The 21,702-nt window shown below is 36.5% G+C and overlaps 1 protein-coding gene across 28 annotated transcripts in view; it reads right to left on the reverse strand.

Annotated features, from left to right (window-relative positions):
* IMMP2L (inner mitochondrial membrane peptidase subunit 2) overlaps positions 1–21,702 on the reverse strand; it is an 899,849-nt gene that overhangs the window by 799,649 nt on the left and 78,498 nt on the right. For 2 of the 28 annotated variants that reach the window (NM_001350964.3, XM_047420932.1), the window contains one exon: positions 18,499–19,744. The exons of 25 other annotated variants lie outside the window; for them this stretch is intronic. In NM_001350964.3, coding sequence (NP_001337893.1) covers positions 19,732–19,744 — 13 coding nt within the window. In that variant the 3' untranslated portion in view covers positions 18,499–19,731. Of the gene's footprint in view, positions 1–18,498; positions 19,745–19,773; positions 21,437–21,702 lie in introns of those variants that run through there. One more of the 28 variants, XM_024446958.2, reaches the window with a different exon arrangement.

The raw sequence follows: 21,702 nt of genomic DNA on the forward strand, positions 1-21,702 counted from the left end.
TCATCACCTGAATAAGATTATTTTTCTTCTAAATTTTCAAAACACAGCTTTGTGCCCAATGGTTTTCCAAAACTGCCTCATATTAACAAGAAAATTTTGGTTCAAAGTAGAGATTAGGAAATTAATGAACCAATGAAACACAGTTAATTACATCCAGAAATTAATGATCAGGATATTAAAACTTGGAAAATATAGAAATAATGGTTTTCCTTTATTAAAAATTTTTTTTGAATTATTGTGAATACATAATAGTTGTATTTATGAGGTACGGGTGACAATACAAGCATACAATGTGCAATCATCAAATCAGGGTAACTGGGATATCCATCATCTCAAACATTTATCATTTCTTTGTGTGATAGAGCTTTTCTTAACTAGAAGTTCAACGATAAAATGTGCTTACAGACCTAACTAAAACCCTATCATGTCCACCTCTAAGAATTCTAATACAGTTCGTCTATAGGGCCCTAGCTCTGCCCCTGCCATTAAGTTTGTGTGACCGATGGCAAGGTCTGCATCTCCAAAATCAGTATTTTACATCAGTTGATTTCTAAGGTCTTCGTGGCTCTGTGGCTATATATACACTTAAAAAGAAACTGAAAACAAATCTGATCAATAAAGAACTTTTTCATGACATATGGTATGTTATTCTGCAGGGTTGCCATAACATAATACCAAACACGAGGTGGCTTACAACAACATAAAGGTATTCTCACAGTTCCGGAGGCCAGAAATCTGAAATTGAGGTGCCAGGAAGGCTATGTCCCTCTGAAGGCAGTAAGGAAGGATCTGTTCCATGCCTTTCTCCTAGTTTCTGGCAGCCTCAGGTGTTCCTTGACTTGCACATGGCCATCTTCTGCCTATATCTCTTCACATCATCTTCCGTGTGTGTGTGTGTGTGTGTGTCCCAATTTCCCCTGTTTATAAAGATACCATTCATATTGGATTAGGACCCATACAAATGACACCTCATTTTAACTTGATTACTTCTGTAAAGACCCAGATCTTCAACTTTTCTGGGGGGGATCCAACTCAACCCATAACATGTGACATGCTGGTTAATCTCTGTTGCCCTCTAAATCCATTCCCTGCTCCTTTCTGCTCCACATCCCAGAGGCTAACCTCTGTGAACTGCATCATCCATGCTTCTTTAATTTCTAGCTTCAAGTTGGCAAATGGGAGGCACCTGTTCAAGATCACAAGACAACAGAAGAGAGAAGGGAGGGTATTTGTTGCCACTCCATACCCCCACCAGGCCACTTTTTTGGTAGCAACTACATTCAGCTATCCACAGTCCTATTTCCCTGTCCACTAGCCCCGCTCCCATAATTCTAGCTCTCACCAGAATGGGTAATTCCATTCCCACCTCTTTTTCCTTCTGCCATCAGGCTATGATGACATCCCACTGTTGCTAGTCCCTGGGCACTTCACTATTGTTCAATGGTTGCATTCTGCACTACCACCCATCCCTCTATAATGAAGTCCATTCATTAAACTCTCTTCATTGTCCCCATTGAATGTACCGTCTGTTTCTCACCAAGGCCCTATCTGGTACACAGGGATAAGTCAATTCTTTAGAGTATTTACATAATTTGTTTATCAAAATTCTAAAAAGTAGTTTAGCCTCAGCATGGCTGCCACAAATTGAGATTTGAAATAATTGGTAGTAAAGACATCACTTTCTGTCATATATACATTTGCTACTGTTTTGCTCCTTTCCTCCTTCACACTTATATCTTAATCTAGAAGGATATGGCAGAGGTCAGGAGCATGGATTGTGAAGGCAGACTGCTTCACTTTGAATCTAGCCTCTACCACGTACTAGATTACATAAGTCCAGTTAATTTACCTCTCTGTACACTAATAAAATGGGCATAAAGGTAATAATATACAAGGCCAGGATTACAGGTATAGCTTACACCTGTAATCCCAATACTTTGGGAAGCCGAGGTGGGAGAATCGTTTGAAGTCAGGAATTCAAGACCAGCCTGAGAAAAATAGCAATTACCTTGCCTCTGCAAAATATTTAAAAATGAAAACATTAGCCATGCATGGTAGTGTTGACCTGCAGTCACAGCTACTTGGGAAGCTAAGGCAGGAGGATTACTTGAGCCCAGGAGCTGAATATTACAGTGAGCTATGACCATGCCACTGCACTCTGCCTGGGCAACACGGCAAAACCATGCCTCATAAGTAAATAAATAAGTAAAGTTTACAAGTCACAGGACAGCTATGTGAAATATATGCCAAATTACTTACATTAATTTTTTAACTATTAAATCAATTAATCTATATAAAGTGCTTAGAACAATACCTGGCTTGTAGTAAGTGTTCTATGAGCATTAGCTGCTATTATTATGATTAATTTTTCCTCTGATGTTTTTCCCTTGACCTACACATTAAGTCACTCTAGCCTCAATCATTTTTACACGGACCCTACCCAACCAATCAAATGTATGCTGGGAATATACAAAAAACACAGCCAACTCTTTTTTATTTTATTTTATTTTTTCCCGAAACGGAGCCTAGCTTGTCACCCAGGCTGGAGTGCAGTGGTGCGACCTCGCCTCACTGCAAGCTCCGCCTCCCGGGTTCACGCCATTCTCTCGCCTCAGCCTCCCAAGTAGCTGGGACTACAGGCGCCCGCCACCAGGCCCGGCTAATTTTGTTCTTGTATTTTTAGTAGAGACAAGGTTTCACCGTGTTAGCCAGGATGGTCTCAATCATCTTCTGACCTTGTGATCCACCCGCCTTGGCCTCCCAAAGTGCTGGGATTACAGGTGTGAGCCACCGCGTCCGGCCAACACAGCCAACTCTTTAAATTTTCCTATGTAAACTACCCATTGTCCAAAAGATCAGTAACACCTGTCACTCCTGCCATAATGGGCTCTCTGACCCCTATATGGTGTACATCCTAAGTCCTCAAGTGTTTTATTTGCTTACGACGTATTTTTGATAATTCTGCTCTCAGTCAAGATTCTGATAAATCATCAATCCCCTACCTGGGCTATTTCAGCTATATGTCAAACACTACACTCCCACTCACTTCCTGGGGTCTATTCCGGCTTTTAAAAGACAGTTTTCAAACCCCTACTTCAGCCAAAGAAATGGTCCTTAATAGTGATTTTCCTCCCAAAATATGTGTACTTAGTTTTGTTTAATTGTTTGGGGATGGGGAGGGGTAGTAGTGTTTGAGACCAGGTGTCACTAAAAAAAAAAAAAAAAAAAAAAAATTAAAAATTAAAAGAAGACATTTATGCAGCCAAAAGACACATGAAAAAATGCTCATCATCACTGGCCATCAGAGAAATGCAAATCAAAACCACAATGAGATACCATCTCACACCAGTTAAAATGGCAATCATTAAAAAGTCAGGAAACAACAGGTGCTGGAGAGGATGTGGAGAAATAGGAACACTTTTACACTGTTGGTGGGACTGTAAACTAGTTCAACCATTGTGGAAGTCAGTGTGGTGATTTCTCAGGGATCTAGAACTAGAAATACCATTTGACCCAGCAATCCCATTACTGGGTATATACCCAAAGGATTATAAATCATGCTGCTATAAAGACACATGCACACGTATGTTTATTGCGGCACTATTCACAATAGCAAAGACTTGGAACCAGGCCAAATGTCCAAGAATGATAGACTGGATTAAGAAAATGTGGCACATATACACCATGGAATACTATGCAGCCATAAAAATGATGAGGTCATGTCCTTTGTAGGGACATGGATGAAGCTGGAAACCATCATTCTCAGCAAACTATCGCAAGGACAAAAAAACCAAACACCACTTGTTCTCACTCACAGATGGGAATTGAACAATGAGAACACATGGACACAGGAAGGGGAACATCACACACTGTGGCCTGTTGTGGGGTGGAGGGAGCGGGGAGGGATAGCATTAGGAGATACACCTAATGTTAAATGACAAGTTAACGTTAAATGACAAGTTAATGGGTGCAGCACACCAACATGGCACATGTATACATATGTAACTAACCTGCACATTGTGCACATGTACCCTAAAACTTAAAGTATAATAAAAAAAATTATCAAATTTAGTCGCTTTTTAGGAAAGGGTAAGGAGTTGGGGAGAGAACATGGGAAAAGAAATCCTCATTGATCTTTGCAAATTATAAACCATCTTTTTAAAGTAAAAATAAACACACACAAAACTTATTTAAAAAATTCCCTTACTTGGCTTAGCAGAAATATACCTCAGTTACGATAACTATAATGAACAAAAAGTGATTACTGTTACTGTATAAAATGGCCCTGAGATGTAGTTATGTACTATATCTGTGTATTTATATAAGTACATTTATCAATACATCAGAAATAACTAGATCTCAAGAAAGGTTCAACTTAGAAATAAGAGTACAGTAGGCCATCCATATCTGTGGGTTCCACATCCATGGATTCAGCCAAAAGCAGATCAAACATATTTGGGAAAAAACTGTCTGTACTAAACATGTACAGACATTTTTTCCCTCTTATTATTCCCTAAAAAATACAGTGTAACAACTATTTACATAGCATTTACATTGTATTAGGTGTCCTAAGTAATCTGGAGATAATTTAAAGTATACAAAATGATGTCCATAGGTTATATGCAAATACTACACCATTCACATCAGGGACTTGAGCATCTTTGGATTTTGGTACAATTGAGAGGTCCTGGAACCAATTCCCCATGGATATGAAGGGACAACTGTACTAAGTATGAGCTAAGAGTAGTAGCAGGAAAGTTCATAAGTAAAAAACCAGATTGACCAAATAGCAGATTAAATCACTGATCAGCAGAAGACCCAAGTGGTCAAAAGCACAGCCCCTGAGGCGAGAAGGCCCTGGTGTAAATCCTCACCCCAGCACCTACTGGGTGACCTTGGGCAAGTCACCCAATCTCTATGTGCCTCAGTTTCCTCACTGTAAAATTACAGTTCTTACCTCACAGTGCTATTGGAAAGATTAAATGAGGTAATATATGTAAAGTATTTAGAACAATTCCTGACACATAGTAAGCTCTTAAAAACTTTTAGTTCTAAAATTTCCAATTCTATATACAGTCCAGAAATATATTCAGTTCTGTAAAGATGGTATTCATTTTAAAGGGAATATTTTGTTGCAGTTTTTGGCTTCTTTTCTCCTACTTATGTGAGTCACACTGCTCATACTCACTTAAGCATAATACAAGTCATTTTACAGAATAAATGTTCAAAGATGGCTGGTATGTATATTGAAAACAATATGCCAACTCCTGAGTTCATGTCTAGACTTCCTCGGGATTACAGAGACGGTAAGGTTAATTACCCTTTTAACTATGATCATTGTTTATTACCTTGCTTTAGTTTTGAGAAAAGGACAAAACATTCTGAGTATATGCAAAAATATTCTAGTTGACAATATATTCATTACTGTTTATGACCTCTAGTATTCTTTCAAATTAAGTAATTAAGTATTTAAACAAACACTCCCGAAGTAGAAGCAAAAATCACTTTCTCAGACTATTTAGCACTTCTTAAAGGTCTCCAAGAAGTAGTACACTCCAATTAATATTTATCCTCTTCCTCAGAGCATCGATGCTTACACTGCCTAAGGGAAACCTGTTGTCAGCTAAGGCAAATGAGGTTAATAACAGGATTTGGCTAAGAAGAAAAATATGTTGCACTTTAGAGAACTAACATCTCATCTCATCTCAAATACGCTAGGAGAATAAAGAGGCCAGGAAACAACCAATTGTAAAAATATTAGTAAATAGGTAACAATTAAAGTCATTCTTTCTCATCCCAACTAGATATACTAATGGCCATAATTACTTTTTACTTACATTAGTATTACCTCAGGGGATCTATTGTTTTCTTATAAAAGTCAGCTGAGCTGTACAGCTTAACCAAGATAATCTGCTATATTAGTTTCCAAGTATAGAAAGCATATGTGTAAATAAAACATACATCCCTCATTGTTACCTGGATGTTATTAACCCTTGCTTCCCAACAACTAAAATATCCACACAGGGATTTACTTACAAAAAAAAAGAAATATGCTTATTAACCTAATTATGGGTATCACATAAATACATTGTATTTGCCCATTTATTATTATTATAGCAAGGCTGTAGGGGCCATACTATCCATATTGGATGGCTAGTTTCTCCCAGTAGCCATCAAGAAGCCTAAAATTTCATCATTTGAAATATTTTTAAGTCTTGACTTTTAGAGGAGAGAGAACTATAAAAGAGAATGTCTAGAGTTAAAGATAGAACAGCAGTCTAGGACTCATATGCAATATAAGAAGAAAATGGAATCAGCAGAAGTTCTAAGCAGGAAAGTGATATTATCCAAATCATGTTGGAAATAAATCTGCTAGCAATGTGGAAAATGTACTAGAGAAAACATATCATAGTCAAAGAAGGAGAGATCTATGTGGCACCTGGACTTAGTAAATGGAGAAAAGAAAAATATTCAATAGATATTTTTCAGGTAGACCCAAAAAGACTCTGTGTCTAACTGGATACAGATGATAAGAAAAACCTAGAAGTTAAAGATGGAAGTGACTCTAACTTTGACTTGTGACTAAATATGATGGCAATAATCAAAATAGTAACCAGAAGAAGAAAAAAAGTTTGGTATGGGCTAGGTTGGGTTTGAGAAGTCTGAGGAATATCATCATACACATATATCCAATGGAGAGCTAAAATTACAGGTATGATGCTTCAAAAAGAAATCAGGTAGGCAAGAAGTTAAGAGCAGTGGACAAAGGGAAAAGAGAAGAGGGCCATTTCTGAGGGCTCTGTTCTGTTCCACTGATCTATATCTCTGTTTTGGTACCAGTACCATGCTGTTTTGGTTACTGTAGCCTTGTAGTATAGTTTGAAGTCAGGTAGCGTGATGCCTCCAGCTTTGTTCTTTTGATTTAGGATTGACTTGGCGATGCGGGCTCTTTTTTGGTTCCATATGAACTTTAAAGTAGTTTTTTCCAATTCTGTGAAGAAAGTCATTGGTAGCTTGATGGGGATGGCACTGAATCTATAAATTACCTTGGGCAGTATGGCCATTTTCATGATATTGATTCTTCCTACCCATGAGCATGGAATGTTCTTCCATTCGTTTGTATCCTCTTTTATTTCATTGAGCAGTGGTTTGTAGTTCTCCTTGAACAGGTCCTTCATGTCCCTTGTAAGTTGGATTCCTAGGTATTTTATTCTCTTTGAAGCAATTGTGAATGGGAGTTCACTCATGATTTGGCTCTCTGTTTGTCTGTTATTGTGTATATCTACAACTATCTGATCTTTGACAAACCTGACAAAAACAAGCAACGGGGAAAGGATTCCTTATTTAATAAATGGTGCTGGGAAAACTGGCTAGCCATATGTACAAAGCTGAAACTGGATCCCTGCCTTACATCTTATACAAAAATTAATTCAACATGGATTAAAGACTTAAACGTCAGACCTAAAACCATAAAAACCCTAGAAGAAAACCTAGGCAATACCATTCAGGACATAGGCATGGGCAAGGACTTCATGTCTAAAACACCAAAAGCAATGGCAACAAAAGCCAAAATTGACAAATGGGATCTAATTAAACTAAAGAGCTTCTGCACAGCAAAAGAAACTACCATCAGAGTCAACAGGCAACCTACAAAATGGGAGAAAATTTTCGCAAGCTACTCATCTGACAAAGGGCTAATATCCAGAATCTACAATGAACTCAAACAAATTTACAAGAAAAAAATAAACAACCCCATCAAAAAGTGGGTGAAGGACATGAACAGACACTTCTCAAAAGAAGACATTAATGCAGTCAAAAGACACATGAAAAAATGCTCATCATCACTGGCCATCAGAGAAATGCAAATCAAAACCACAATGAGATACCATCTCACACCAGTTAAAATGGCAATCATTAAAAAGTCAGGGAACAACAGGTGCTGGAGAGGATGTGGAGAAATAGGAACACTTTTACACTGTTGGTGGGACTGTAAACTAGTTCAACCCTTGTGGAAGTCACTGTGGTGATTCCTCAGGGATCTAGAACTAGAAATACCATTTGACCCAGCAATCCCATTACTGGGTATATACCCAAAGGACTATAAATCATGCTGCTATAGACACATGCACACGTATGTTTATTGTGGCACTATTCACAATAGCAAAGACTTGGAACCAACCCAAATGTCCAACAGTGATAGACTAGATTAAGAAAATGTGGCACATATACACCATGGAATACTATGCAGCCATAAAAAATGATGAGTTCATGTCCTTTGTAGGGACATGGATGAAATTGGAAATCATCATTCTCAGTAAACTATCCCAAGGACAAAAAAACCAAACACCGCATGTTCTCACTCATAGGTGGGAATTGAACAATGAGAACACATGGACACAGGAAGGGGAACATCACACTCTGGGGACTGTTGTGGGGTGGGGGGGAGGGGGGAGGGATAGCATTAGGAGATATACCTAATGCTAAATGACGAGTTAATGGGTGCAGCACACCAGCATGGCACATGTATACATATGTAACTAACCTGCACATTGTGCTCATGTACCCTAAAACTTAAAGTATAATAATAATAAAATAAATAAATAAATAAATAAAGAGAAGAGGGCCAAAAAAGGAACCAGCAAAGCATACAAAGCTAAAACAGAACCAAGAAAAAAGGATGTAATATACAACAAAGGGCCAGAAAACTTCAAGGAGGAAGAATTCATACTGTCCATTTCTGCTAAGAGATGAAGAAACATTTGTATCGTGGCCATTGGATTTAGCAATGAGAAGATTTGAGAATTTTTCCAAAGAGTTTTTGTAGAATATTAGAGATAGAAGTCTGATTTTACTAAACTAAGGCAGTAAGTGACTTAAGGAATTGAAGAGGACTCACAGATATTTCTTCCCAGAAATATCTCTTTCCAGATGTTTGGAAATAAACATCAGTACTCTTTCCAGATGCTTGGAAATAAGAGCAAAATGTACTGATTTACCCGCAAATCTTGACAGATTCTAGGGAATGCAAGTCTCTGTCATTATTGTATAGAAGAGAGGAGAAAACAAAAGGTAATTAAAGCTGACTCTAAAGTCTCTAAATTTGATTCATGGGTATAGATATAAAGATTCCATAACTTTAGCAGCAAGGTCCAATACAGTAGCCAAAAGCCACATGTGGTTACTGAACACTTGAAATGCAACTAGTCCAAACTGAGATGTGCCAAATGAAACCAACACCAGATTTTTAAGACCTTATTTCGAAAAATGTAAAATATCTCATTAATATTTTAATATTAATTACATGTGGAAATATTTTAGATCTATTGGGTTAGAAAATATTAAAATTAAAATTACACTTGTTTCTTTTCTCACTTGTTTCAAAGTGTTAGTAGACAATTTAAAATCACATATATGGCTCACGTTATATTTCTTTTGAACGTCCCTGAACATTCAAAATGTTATCCTCTAGAATAAATACTAAACTGGAAGAACAGGATTCAGAAAGGTTCCATCACAGCCAGCCTATATATATATCATATTAGTGTGAAAGTTAATGAAGGGGACACCCAGGACAACATCATGACTTTAAGAAAATAAAGTCCTAACTAATTAAGTGGCTTACTCAGGTCACCTAGCTACTGGAAACAAAACCCAGACTAGAACCTAGTCCGTGGGTATTTCCTCTATTATTCCACCTCTTGAAATGTCAGTGAAAATTTAACTGTTATATACGATCTTATTCTGTACCACATTCAATAAAATGACTTGTAAAAAAATCTTAAAATCATAATCTCCATAAGAGTATCCTTTGTTCACCAGTCAACTTGTAATTTAACTAATATTGTTAACGTATGTCAACTCACGATTCAGTTTTGTTGTGTTTTACTTTGGGCATGTATATATATACTCTGAATTTATTTCAACCAATTCCACATGAATTTTAAAGAGAATATCCTCCTTTCAAGTACACATCTCTTTAAAAAAAAGTTCTAAGAAAACATATCTGGAAAAGTTCAGAGAAACTACTCTCAACCATTATTATCTGCCATTTGATAGTGGTAACTTACTAAGGCATCATGTTGCTCATTAATGTAATATTCATACAAAATTAAAAGTTATATTCAAAATATAGCTATAGTATATGATGATATACTGTATTTCAAATTCTGGCAAGATTTAAAATCCTGCTTTGCCCAATAAAATCTTCAAAGACACTCAACCATTATGTTGTAGGTAAACCACAGTTCCAGAATCACCAATAATTGTAACCAACCAAAATATTTAGCTGTAATTTCTTCAATATACTCCAACAACTATAAATGTATTTATGCTTTTCATTAAGAAAAGACACAATTATTTAAAAAATTAGTCTTTTCATGCTAACTTTCCATGTGAAATTGAAAAGTAAACATCACTTGAAACTTTAAAACTTAATTTTATGAGACATCTTAATAAGCTAATAACTGTTGTAGTCATGGTAGTTATTTCCTTTGTAGAAATACTGCTCCAAAAATAGTGCTATGCTGAGTGCAGTGGCTCATGCCTGTAATCCCAGCACTTTGGGAGGCTGAGGTGGGTGGATCACTTGAGGCCAGGATTTCAAGACCAGCCTGGCCAACATGGCGAAACCAAGTCTCTACTAAAAGAAAAAAAAGAAAGAAAAAAGAAAAAAAATGCAAAATAGTGCTGATAAAAATGAATGAAGATTATTTGATTAAGCAACATGCTTAATTTTGTACGTATACCCTATATTTATTTTAACAAATAAAACTATTATTGTCATTCCAAAATGACATTATTAAAAATAATAAAAATAAAGAATATCAGCTCCACTTCTTGAATATTTGCTGTTATTTCAATGTTATCACATAGATAAAAGGATGGTGAAAATCTAGCTAATAGAGTTAGCTATGCACAGGGTGACTATGCTTCCAAAGAGGAGCTTTCCATGGCGATCTGCATGTCTTCTTTTCTTTGCCTGGCTGTTTGTGGCCCCTCTTCACATAACTGGAGTTAGTGTATTCATCTATTCCAAAGTTATTCCATCTGGACTCCTATGTGGCAGCCTCCCCCAAAATACAAAATACAAAAAAATACAAAAGTACAGAGCCAGATGTCACTAAGACCTGAGCTTTACCACATCCTTAAAAGTTTTCAAGTTTTCCTTGGTTGTATATGTCCCTTTTTGGCTTACTATATAGCAGATGCTAAGTGTCCCACTGTTGACTGTTCTTAGCAAGGCGTAATCCAGCATGGAGCTACAGAGAATCACTGCTCCTTCAATACTGGCAGACTGAATGACATTGTTGGTGTTTATGTCAACCTACTTCATGTTAAGAATAACTGACAGTTGATAGTCATGACATTGCATAAACATCTGTGGTAGATTCAATATCAATATTCTAGAGAATATTTGCAATAAGCAGCATTTAACAGCATTTGTTCAGCCACTATGGAAAGAAGTTTGGAGATTTCTTAAAGAACTTAAAACAGAACTATCATTTGACCCACCAAACCCATTACTGGGCATATATCAAAAGGAAAATAAATCATTCTACCAAAAAGATGCACACACTCATATGTTCATCACAGCACTATGCACAATGGCTAAGACATGGAATCAACCTAGGTGCCCATCAACAGTGGACTGAATAAAGAAAGTGTGGTACAAATACACCATGGAGTACTACACAGCCATAAGAAAGGATGAAACCATGTCCTTTGCAACAACATGAACGCAGATGGAGGCCATTATCCTAAGAATAAATTAATGCAGGAACAGAGAACCAAATATTGCAAGTACTCACTTAAAAGTGGGAGCTAAACATTGGTCACTCATGAACATAAAGATGGCAATAATAGACACTGGGGACTACTTGAGTGGGGAGGGAAAAAGGGGGAAAAAGGTTGATAAACTAACTATTGGCTATTATACTCACTACCTGGATGACGGGATCAATCATACCCTAAACCTCAGCATCACACAATATACCCAAGTAACAAAGTGCACATGTGCCCCAGAATCTAAAATAAAAGTTGAAATTACTTTTTTTAAAGTCCACAATATGATAAAGTGTGCTAAGGAATCATACCTCCTTGAAAATAACTAAAAACATCACTTCTCCCATTTATAAAGCAAAAGTGAATATTCAAAGATAACTGCAGGAGGTTAAGTTCATTAGCCAATATTCCCCTAGCACCTAAGGCAGTTTTCCGCTTTTTTTTTTCAGTATGCTCTTATTACTGCCTAATTATCCATATTGCTTTTCTTCCTTTTTGTTAAACTGAAATTCACCCAAGCAGTTTAACCTTTCATTTAGAATCATTAAATACACTCCCCTCCCCTCACTGATAATTGGCCTCTTTCTTTATTAACTGATTTCCCCCCTTGATTTATTACAAACCTTTTTTGCCAAATTTGGATCCATTCTGTTAATACATTCTTTACCTTCTTGCAACTCAATTAACACAGTGTCATTGTTACCAAAGCTTTCCTATTATTTCTTCAAGTTCTTATTGCTCTTTAAAGATCATCTAGTAGAATAATGAATTTTTAATAAACCCGGAATATTTTAATGATTCTTACTTAATTCTATGGTAAAATTTATGTGAGACATACTATTCTTCACACTGAAATGTTTCCTACTGTACTGTCATAATACTATACGGTAACTTTCTAGCAATCCAAATACACAAATCCTTGCAATATAACTTATGACTTCTAAAAGTACAGAAAGCCATATTATAATTATCATATCCATAGCTAAATCAAACCAAGCCAGCTTCTTCAACAGCAGTTCCAACATCCATACAATTTTTAATAAAGTGAAACTTATACTTGTGCCATCAGTAAGTATTAATGTAACCTCTGAGTATGAGTAAACCTGTCACTAGATTATGCAAAGGAATAACCTTTCATGGGCCCTTGAGGTTTCTCCTTAATGGAAATAAACAATTTTTTTAAAAGGCATTCCTGTTCTCTTCTTGGAAAGAAATACTTTCCTGAGCTCCAAGGCACTGATAAAATTTGGTGGGTGTCGTTTTAAGGCCTTTCCCTTTCTTATCAGCTACCGACACATTTCCCAGCCTTGCCACCTCTACTCACCAAAACAGTGCCTTTTTTTTTTCTAAAAGGAAAAGAAAAATGAAAGGTATCTACTGACCTTGGATCAAATAAGGTTATGTTTAAGTTTAGTTTAGAGATTTCTTCCACTTTTCCAAGACCTAAAATATGAAGCAGAATATAGACTATGGTATCTTTATTTAGCAAGAACCAGCGGACACTGTGTTTACCAGTGGGAAACACATCTTAAGTTGACAAGAGATATGGAGATAACCAGAACAAAATTAACCATTAGAATATTAAAAACTCTACTCCCAGAATAAATTACAAGGAACAAAGAAACAAAGATTTCTACCACTATCTTATTTTGAGTAATTTTAAATAAATAGGAAAGGATTTTGATCTCATCCTTCTGTAAAACGTCTACCTGCCAACATTTATGTTTGCAATTTTCAATAATTGCAACTACAGACATAATCTTTATAAGTATATATTCATTTGATGTCTTTCACCAATAAAGACCTGGTGTTCCAAGTCTCCTATCTGTTCCAGAATTTCTATTTCATGTGCCAATATAGCTCTTCTTTAAAAAATTTCAAGTCAGTTTTGACTCCAACTTTAAAACTATGCAACATAGTTTTCTGATATCCTGAGGGATTAATTCTTATGTTGAACTTCCTAACAATTCCATTTTGATCCCTAAAGCTATTTTCATGCATTTTTTAAATGAAAGAGACCTTAAAGATCAACTAGTCTGTACCTCTTATTCTGCAGATGATGCAATTGATCCAAGGAACAGTTAAAGTAACCTGTGCAGGGTCACTCAGCCAATTAAAAATGATGCAACTCAAAGTAGAAACAAGATGTCCCAAAGCCTAGACCCATAGTCTTGCACTGAAGAACTGGCAAATAGAGGCTTTCAGATTTGTTTCACAGAAAAGAAAATAATACTTTTTAAATTAGTCAATTATGTAAATAAAATCGGTGTTTTCAAACACTTAATAATCTTTTGTAAAAGTACATTTCCTTGTACATAGTAAACGTGGTTTTAGAACTGTTTGTATTTTTTATTGCTTAAGATGATTTTCTATTGGCACTGTAACAAATTACAGCAAATTTGGCGGTTTAAAATAACATTTGTTTATTATCTAACAGCTCTCAAAGACAGAAGCCTAGTAGGTTTGGCTAGATCCTCTTCTTAAGATCTTTCAAGGCCAAAATCAAGGTGTCAGTGGGACTAGGTCCTTCTATAGAAATCCCAGGATAATCTATTTCCAGGCTCATTAAGTTGTTGGCAAAATTCTGTGTAGTTGTAAGACCGAGGTACTTGTTTCCTTGCTGATCTTTGATTGAAGGTTATTCTTACCTTCTAGAGGCAGCCTGCTTTCCTCTGCCCATGGCCCCTGAATCTTCAAAGGCTGTAACAATGTGTTGCATCCTTCTTGTCCTTTGGATCTCTCACTTCATATGCTGCACTTCCCTAACTACTACTTCTGCCTCTGTTTCTAAGGGCTCATGTGATTGCACTGGACCTACATGGATAATCCAGGATAACCTTTATTTTAAGGTCAACTGATTAGTAGCCTTATTTACATCTGTCCCTTTGGCAATGTAAAGTAACTTATTCATGGATATATCATCTTATTATATTCACTATCCAGGGAATTAGAGCATGGAATCTGCTTGGAAACCAAAGTTCTAATTATTACATTTAGCTCATATTTATTGATGCATCCTTAAGGAAATGTGACTGGTTTTCTACAGATCACGTTGTTCAAACTCTAACAAAATAAATAACTTTGCATTCCTAATATTTATATATCCATTTCCAGGAATGGCTCTGATTGGCCCTGCTTAGGTCCAGTGCCCACCCCTCTACCAACCACCAGGGCTGGCTTCATGGCAATGTGACCAGTGCAGTCACACATAATCCTGGGCTCAGAAGGGACCCCACATTTGGGGCTTAATGCTCTGAAGCTACCAACTTGAAATTCTTAACCCTTTGAATTTGTTTTGTACATGAAGTCCAATAGAACAATTGAGCATGTGCCAGGGGCTTGTTTGTCTGAAAAAGAATGCATTTCTCTTTCATTTTTTAAGAATATTTCCAACAGGTACAACATTCTAGATTGACATTTTTTTTCCTTTTACCACTTTATAGAGATGTCATTCAGTTATCTCCTGTCTTCTATCAGTTGAAAAGTAGGCTATATTTTTGCTTCTTTGAAGGAAATGTCTTTTTTCCTTTGAAGACTTTTATCGGCCGGACACAGTGGCTCATGCCTGTAATCTCAGCACTATGGGAGGCCGAGGCAGGCAGATCACCTGAGGTCAGGAGTTCAAGACCAGCCTGACCAACACAGAGAAACCCCATCTCTACTAAAAATAAAAAATTAACCAAGTGTGGTGGTGCATGCCTATAATCCCAGCTACTCAGGAGGCTGAGGCAGGAGAATCGCTTGAACACTGGAGGTGGAGGTTGTGGTGAGCCAAGATCATGCTATTGCACTCCAGCCTGGGCAACAAGAGTGAATTTCTGCCTCAAAAAAAAAAATAGACTTTTATCTTCTTTGGTTTTCAGTGGTTTGACTGCCATGTGCCCTAAATGTGCTTTCATTGTATTTATTCCAATAGTGCTTTTTCATTCTGTGGATTGATGTCTTTCATTGATTTTAGAAAACTCTTGGCCTGAATCTATTAAGATAATGCTTCTTCCTCAATTCCTACTCTCCTATTCTCCTGGGACTCCAATTAGATGGTAGTCAGCCTTTTCCACTATTATATTATTTACACTATTGATTGTGTGTTCCATTCTTTTATTCCTCCCATGCACTATTCTATATATTTTCTAATTGACCCATCATCCAGTTCACTAATTCTTTCCTCAGCTGTCTAATTTTCTAATAAACTAATCTATTGAGTTCTTCATTTCAGTCACAGTTTTTATTTCTAGAATTTCTTTAAATTATTTTTATGGATTCTTATTCTGTGCTGAAATTATCCACCTTTTCATCACTTTAAAAAAATATTGATCATAATTTTTTTCTGTTTTTGGAGAGAGGGTCTTACTCTGTCACCCAGGCTGGAATGCAGTGGTTAGACCATAGCTCACTGCAGCCATGATCTCCCAGGCTCACATTATCCTTCCTCCCATCTCAGCCTCTGTAGTAGCTAGACTACAGGCATGCAACACCATGCCCAGCTTTTGTTTGTTTGTTTGTTTGTTTGTTTGTTTGTTTTTGGTTAAGTAGAGACCAGGGAAGTCTTGCTATGTCACCCAGGCTGGTCTCAAACTCCTGAGCTCAAGTGATCCTCCCACCTCGGCCTCCCAAAGTGCTAGGATTACAGACATGACTCACCACACCTGGCCAATTACAGTTATTTAATAGTCCATGTCTAATCATTCCAATATCTAGATTACTGTGAGACTGTTTCTATCCTTTCTTGTTTTATATTGTTTTTCTTGGTCCTGGCTTCTAATATGCATGGTATAATTTTTTATTAAATGCCAAGTGTTGCGTATAAAAAAATTATAGAAACTCTGCATGATGTCTCTTGCTTCCAGCAATGACAGACAGTTGAAGTAAAGGCAGACCACCTTAAAATCAAGATTGGGTTTATCAAAGAATACATTTTGATTTTTGTAAGTAGTGGCCTATTTATAGTTCTTCCTAACTCCTAGGATATAGCCCCACAAGAATTCCAATGAAAAGCTTAGAGTGTTTTACCAGGGTCCTTCTTCCTCCTTCCTGAATTTTAGCTTGCAGGCACTGTGAAACTGCCAAAAGTTCTGCTCATCCTGTCACCATCTTAGCTATTGCTGCTTGGTTTCTCAGCTTGGCCTGTGTTGCTTGCAAATTGACAGAACCCAAGGTGAAAAATGACACCAAATACAGGGCTCACTTCAGTGTGTTTCCTTTCATTCTTAGATCTTTAGCTCTTGGTAGTGCTCCAATGCCTTTAGATATATATATTTTTCTAATCCAGTTTTTTTCATTATTCACAGTGTAGGCCTTAGTTTGAAATAAACTAGTCCATTTACAGCCAGAAATAGAAATCAGCCACTGACTGATCTGTGGCCTATCTTTATGTATGCCTCTATATCTTATTAATTCCAAAAGTATTTAAGATAAGTTGACACCCTTATATGACGGTTGATTTGCCTTGTGTTCTATTTCCTGCTTGAAACCTAAACTGTTCACTACTCTAATATCCTAATTAATTTTGTTGTAATTATTATGTAAACTTACATTCAAAATGCTTCTCCTCGATAGCTAAATCTGACTCCTTACATATAATATTTAACGTGTATTTGGGAGGTCCTTTGCAAATGCCGTCTTGTACTTACTCATTTTTTTAAATATAAGAAACAGCATTCTCAGAGACTAGATTATTTCAGAGTAAAAATGAAAACATTTATAAACATAAGCACTAGTATTTAATAGAATGTTGCCTGTATAATTTTGTTCTTTGAAAACTTATAGTTACCTCTCAAAGGATATAAAATTTATAAAACAGGATGAGCAGAAGCTATGTATAACTCCTATGGTTACATTAACACAAAATCTCGGTAATTCAAAATTGAAATTTATTAAACATTTCTAAGATGTAATTTGTCTCTGAACTAAGAAAATGTCTTATTACATAATTAAGTGTATAAGCATTGTGAAGGCAGTTTATCCTACTTTAAAAAATAAATTGCTGTTAAGGACTGTCTTAAGGATACCAACTTTTTTTTTTTTTTTTGAGATGGAGTCTCACTTTGTTGCCCAGGCTGGAGTGCAGTGGCGCAATCTCGGCTCACTGCAAGCTCCGCCTCCCAGGTTCACGCCATTCTCCTGCCTCAGCCTCCCGAGTAGCTGGGACTACAGGCGCCCACCACCACGCCCAGCTAATTTTTTGTATTTTTAGTAGAGATGGGGTTTCACCGTAGCCAGGATGGTCTCCATCTCCTGACCTCGTGATCCACCTGCCTCAGCCTCCCAAAGTGCTGAGATTACAGGCGTGAGCCACTGTTCCCGGCCAAGGATATCAACTTTTTGTATGGCTATGAACAGCATTTAAAAATCAGTTTAATCTATATCAAATAATAAGAATAATAATACCTATACTATCTCATTTTATTTATTTTAAAAATGTCACTTGTACATATACTTAGTAATGACTGCAAATTACTATGGATAATTGAAAGTACCAAAAATAAACTGCAACACAGGATTTCCCTCCCCAGCATTTTACTGTCAAAAAAAAAAAAAAAAAAAAAAAAACTGGAAACCTAGGTACTTCATCCTCCCTAAAGAATCTTTCATAAAAGTCATGGTCTTTCTACATTTGGTTCCTAAATGTACTACATTAACTACAAACTCAGAAAAATGTTTGGCCATAGATTTTAAAAATTGGGAATGAGTACAGATAGAACAGATAAGTATACACAATTATATTTTCCCAGCTCAATTGATAACTGGCTTTTAATACAATTATGGGTCATTATTCAGTATTATTATTACTGTGGCCAAAACATGAAATTCCATTTTTAGCAGGTTCCAATTAATTTCCTTGGTTGGTCAAGGAACCTTTCAAGATTTACAAGCACTCAAGACACAAAGCATCTTTCGTTTTTCTTTTTTCAAATGCTCTATTCTATTTCATCTATTTCCCTTGCTCAAATCTTTATGACTCTTTGTTCATACTTATCGATAGAGAAGCAGCCACCACACTGGCCATCTATCAGAAAGTGGTAATGAGTTTAGCATGACAAAAACCAGCTGTTGAAACTGCTGTATTATGCACACTGTATGTTCATAATACAGTAATATTGCTATTAATGAAGAGACTGCTATGTATTTCAGGAACCACTGTATCAGAAATTCAACTACAGAAATGGGAGTAAAATAAGAGATGTAGACATACCAGGGCCAGAATGACTTCTTTGGTGAGAATCAATGTTATTCAACCATAGCATCGTACCACATTATATGGAGACATTATAGGATGATGGTTAAGACACAGCTTTGATGTGAGGCACTTCAAGCCTTTGCTCTGCCACTTATTAATATTTACTATGTCCTTAAGCAGGTTATTTAGCCTCTCTATGCTTTAGTGTTCTCATCTATAAAACCGGGGATAACAATACCTACTTTACTGGTTTTTCTTAATAAGAATCAAATAAAAGTGAAGTTAGAACTCCTAACCCAGTGGCTAACAAAAAAATAAGCAGTCAATAAACACTTTAAAAATATTATGTTTTTTTTTTTTCTCTCCATAGATTATGTGTCTTTTTCTCTCTGCCTTTGGACCTGATCACTCCGACACTCTTACCAACACCAGGTGTTTATTACCTATCTTTAGAAGTCTACCTTTGCTTCATAGGAACTACCTTAGTGTTTTCCATCTCAGACTTTGGGATTTTATCTTAGTTCACTTCAGACATACTCCAGGGATACAGCAGTGTACAATGGGAAAAGATTTAGACGTAGTGTTATCAAATAGAAATAAAATGTATGTCACATGTGTAATTTTACATTTTCTACTAGGCATATTTAAAAAGGAAGAATCAGCCAGATGCACTGCTTATGCCTGTAGTCCCAGCCACTCAGGAGGCTGAGGCAGGAGGATCACTTAGGCCCAGGAGTTCATGCCCAGCATGGGCAGCATAGCAAGACCCAATCTCATAAACTAAAACTGGAAGAAAAAGAGGAAAAAGAAACAGGTAGCATTTTAGTAATATATTTATTTGCATGAATATATCCAAATTATTATGATTTTAACAAGCAGCAATCACCACATTTCAAGTGTTCAGTAACTATAGGTGCTTGCTATATTAGACAGTACAGGCTTAGAGTCAAATGAATGTGGATTCAAATTCTGGCCTTGCTTTTTACTTGCCATGCACTTGCTGTAAATCTGTTTCATTATGTTAAAAATTACTATCTCCAGATATTGTGAGAATTAAATAAAAACAGCATACTCAAAGCACTTAGCACAATGCTTACTTACAGGCATGCTCATTCAATGAGAATTCCCTCACACCAACCTTCTACTATAGAACTGAACACTGGCTCAATACAGTGAAATCTGTGATCCAGATTAAGAGGAAAGGAAGAGAAAGGAAGCCCCCCATCGTCCTTCCTTTCTAGCTCTCTATAAACTGTGGCCATTTCTCCCACTCACACAGCTCTCCTTCTTTGCTTCCTAGCAGCTATAAATTTGACTCGGTAGACTTATTTCTAGAATCCCTGAACCCTTGTAGTCATGACCCAAGTATGTGGTTCCAAGAAACTAAAAAAAAACCCATGCCTGAAAGAGAAATCCTACCATCTCTTTCTTCTCTGCCCCTGTGGTATCCACCTCCCCAGCTGGCCCTACTGCCTAGTCAGACAGAGTTTCTCCTTTATTCAGGGGTTCTCACTGCTGCAGCTTCCTCAGCCTCAGCAACTGCCATTAACGTTAGTGCTTCTCTATTGAAAGAGAGTCTGGCATCAAACATTAAAGAGGCTGAGCAGCATTCTGCAAAATAACTGGACAGTACCCTTCAAAAGTGTCAATGGCATAAAAGACAAAGATCAAGGAACTGGCATATACTGAAGGTGACTAAAGAGACATAAAAAATAAAAAATGAAAATATGGGATCTTGAGTAGGATCTTGGCCCAAAAAAAGGACATTAGTGGGAAAACAGGTGAAATCTGAATAAGGTCTAGACCTATTCGTCTAATAAGATTAGATCTAATAATATTCTACTGATGTCAATTTCCTGGTTTCAATACTTGAACTATGGTTCTATATAATGTTAATATTAGGGGATTTGTGGGAACTCTCTACACTATTTTTGCAACTTTTCTTCAAAACAAATAAAAGTAAAATTAAGTTAAAACACTTTTAAATGTGATTATTTAGGACTTTATTATGAAAGAACCTCTGTCCCGATGGACTTGTTAAGTGATATATTATTGTGAAATAGTGCAACTTATGTTAAGCCAGGAAGGCCATCACACAGGTTAACGAAAAGTCAATTCCAAGGTATAGAAAATTCACCTTACTCACCACTATGAGTTTGTAAATCACTAAGAGAGTATGATGCCACCTACATATACTATAGTGAGGACTTGATGACAGCAAATCATATTTTGTGCAACCAATAATGTTATTAAATAAATGTAGCTACTGAATAACATACTTAAACAATAACTCCACTGTGACCAACTTTTTACAGAAAGAAAGAGACAGTGAAAAATAAGAAAGATATGCAAAAAAATAATATGCACCCACCTCCCTCTGCCAGATCTCCCATGCTTTAGGAAACAACACTGGTCAACCAACTCTGAACAAAACCCCTTGCAATAGAAAGGACAGTCTGCTTTGCTATATATGTGTTTCTGTAACATGAATTAACATAGACAATTGGTAAGTGGAGAAAAGATTTCAGTGTAATGCAGAAGTTACATTGGTTCCTATGTAATTTTTTTCCCAGATGATTAATGTTTTGCCTTATTAGTACAGGCAACTGAAGGCTACGTATACTAATGGCAGCAAACCAGGAAGGAATCAGTATTATACATTCAGCCTTTCTCTGAGAAGTGCTACTGCAAAGTTAACCCTGATCTTTGTTTATAAATAACTAAATAAATAAAACAAAGTAACA

Source organism: Homo sapiens, chromosome 7 (assembly GCF_000001405.40).
Source record: "Homo sapiens chromosome 7, GRCh38.p14 Primary Assembly".
Lineage (NCBI taxonomy): Eukaryota > Metazoa > Chordata > Mammalia > Primates > Hominidae > Homo > Homo sapiens.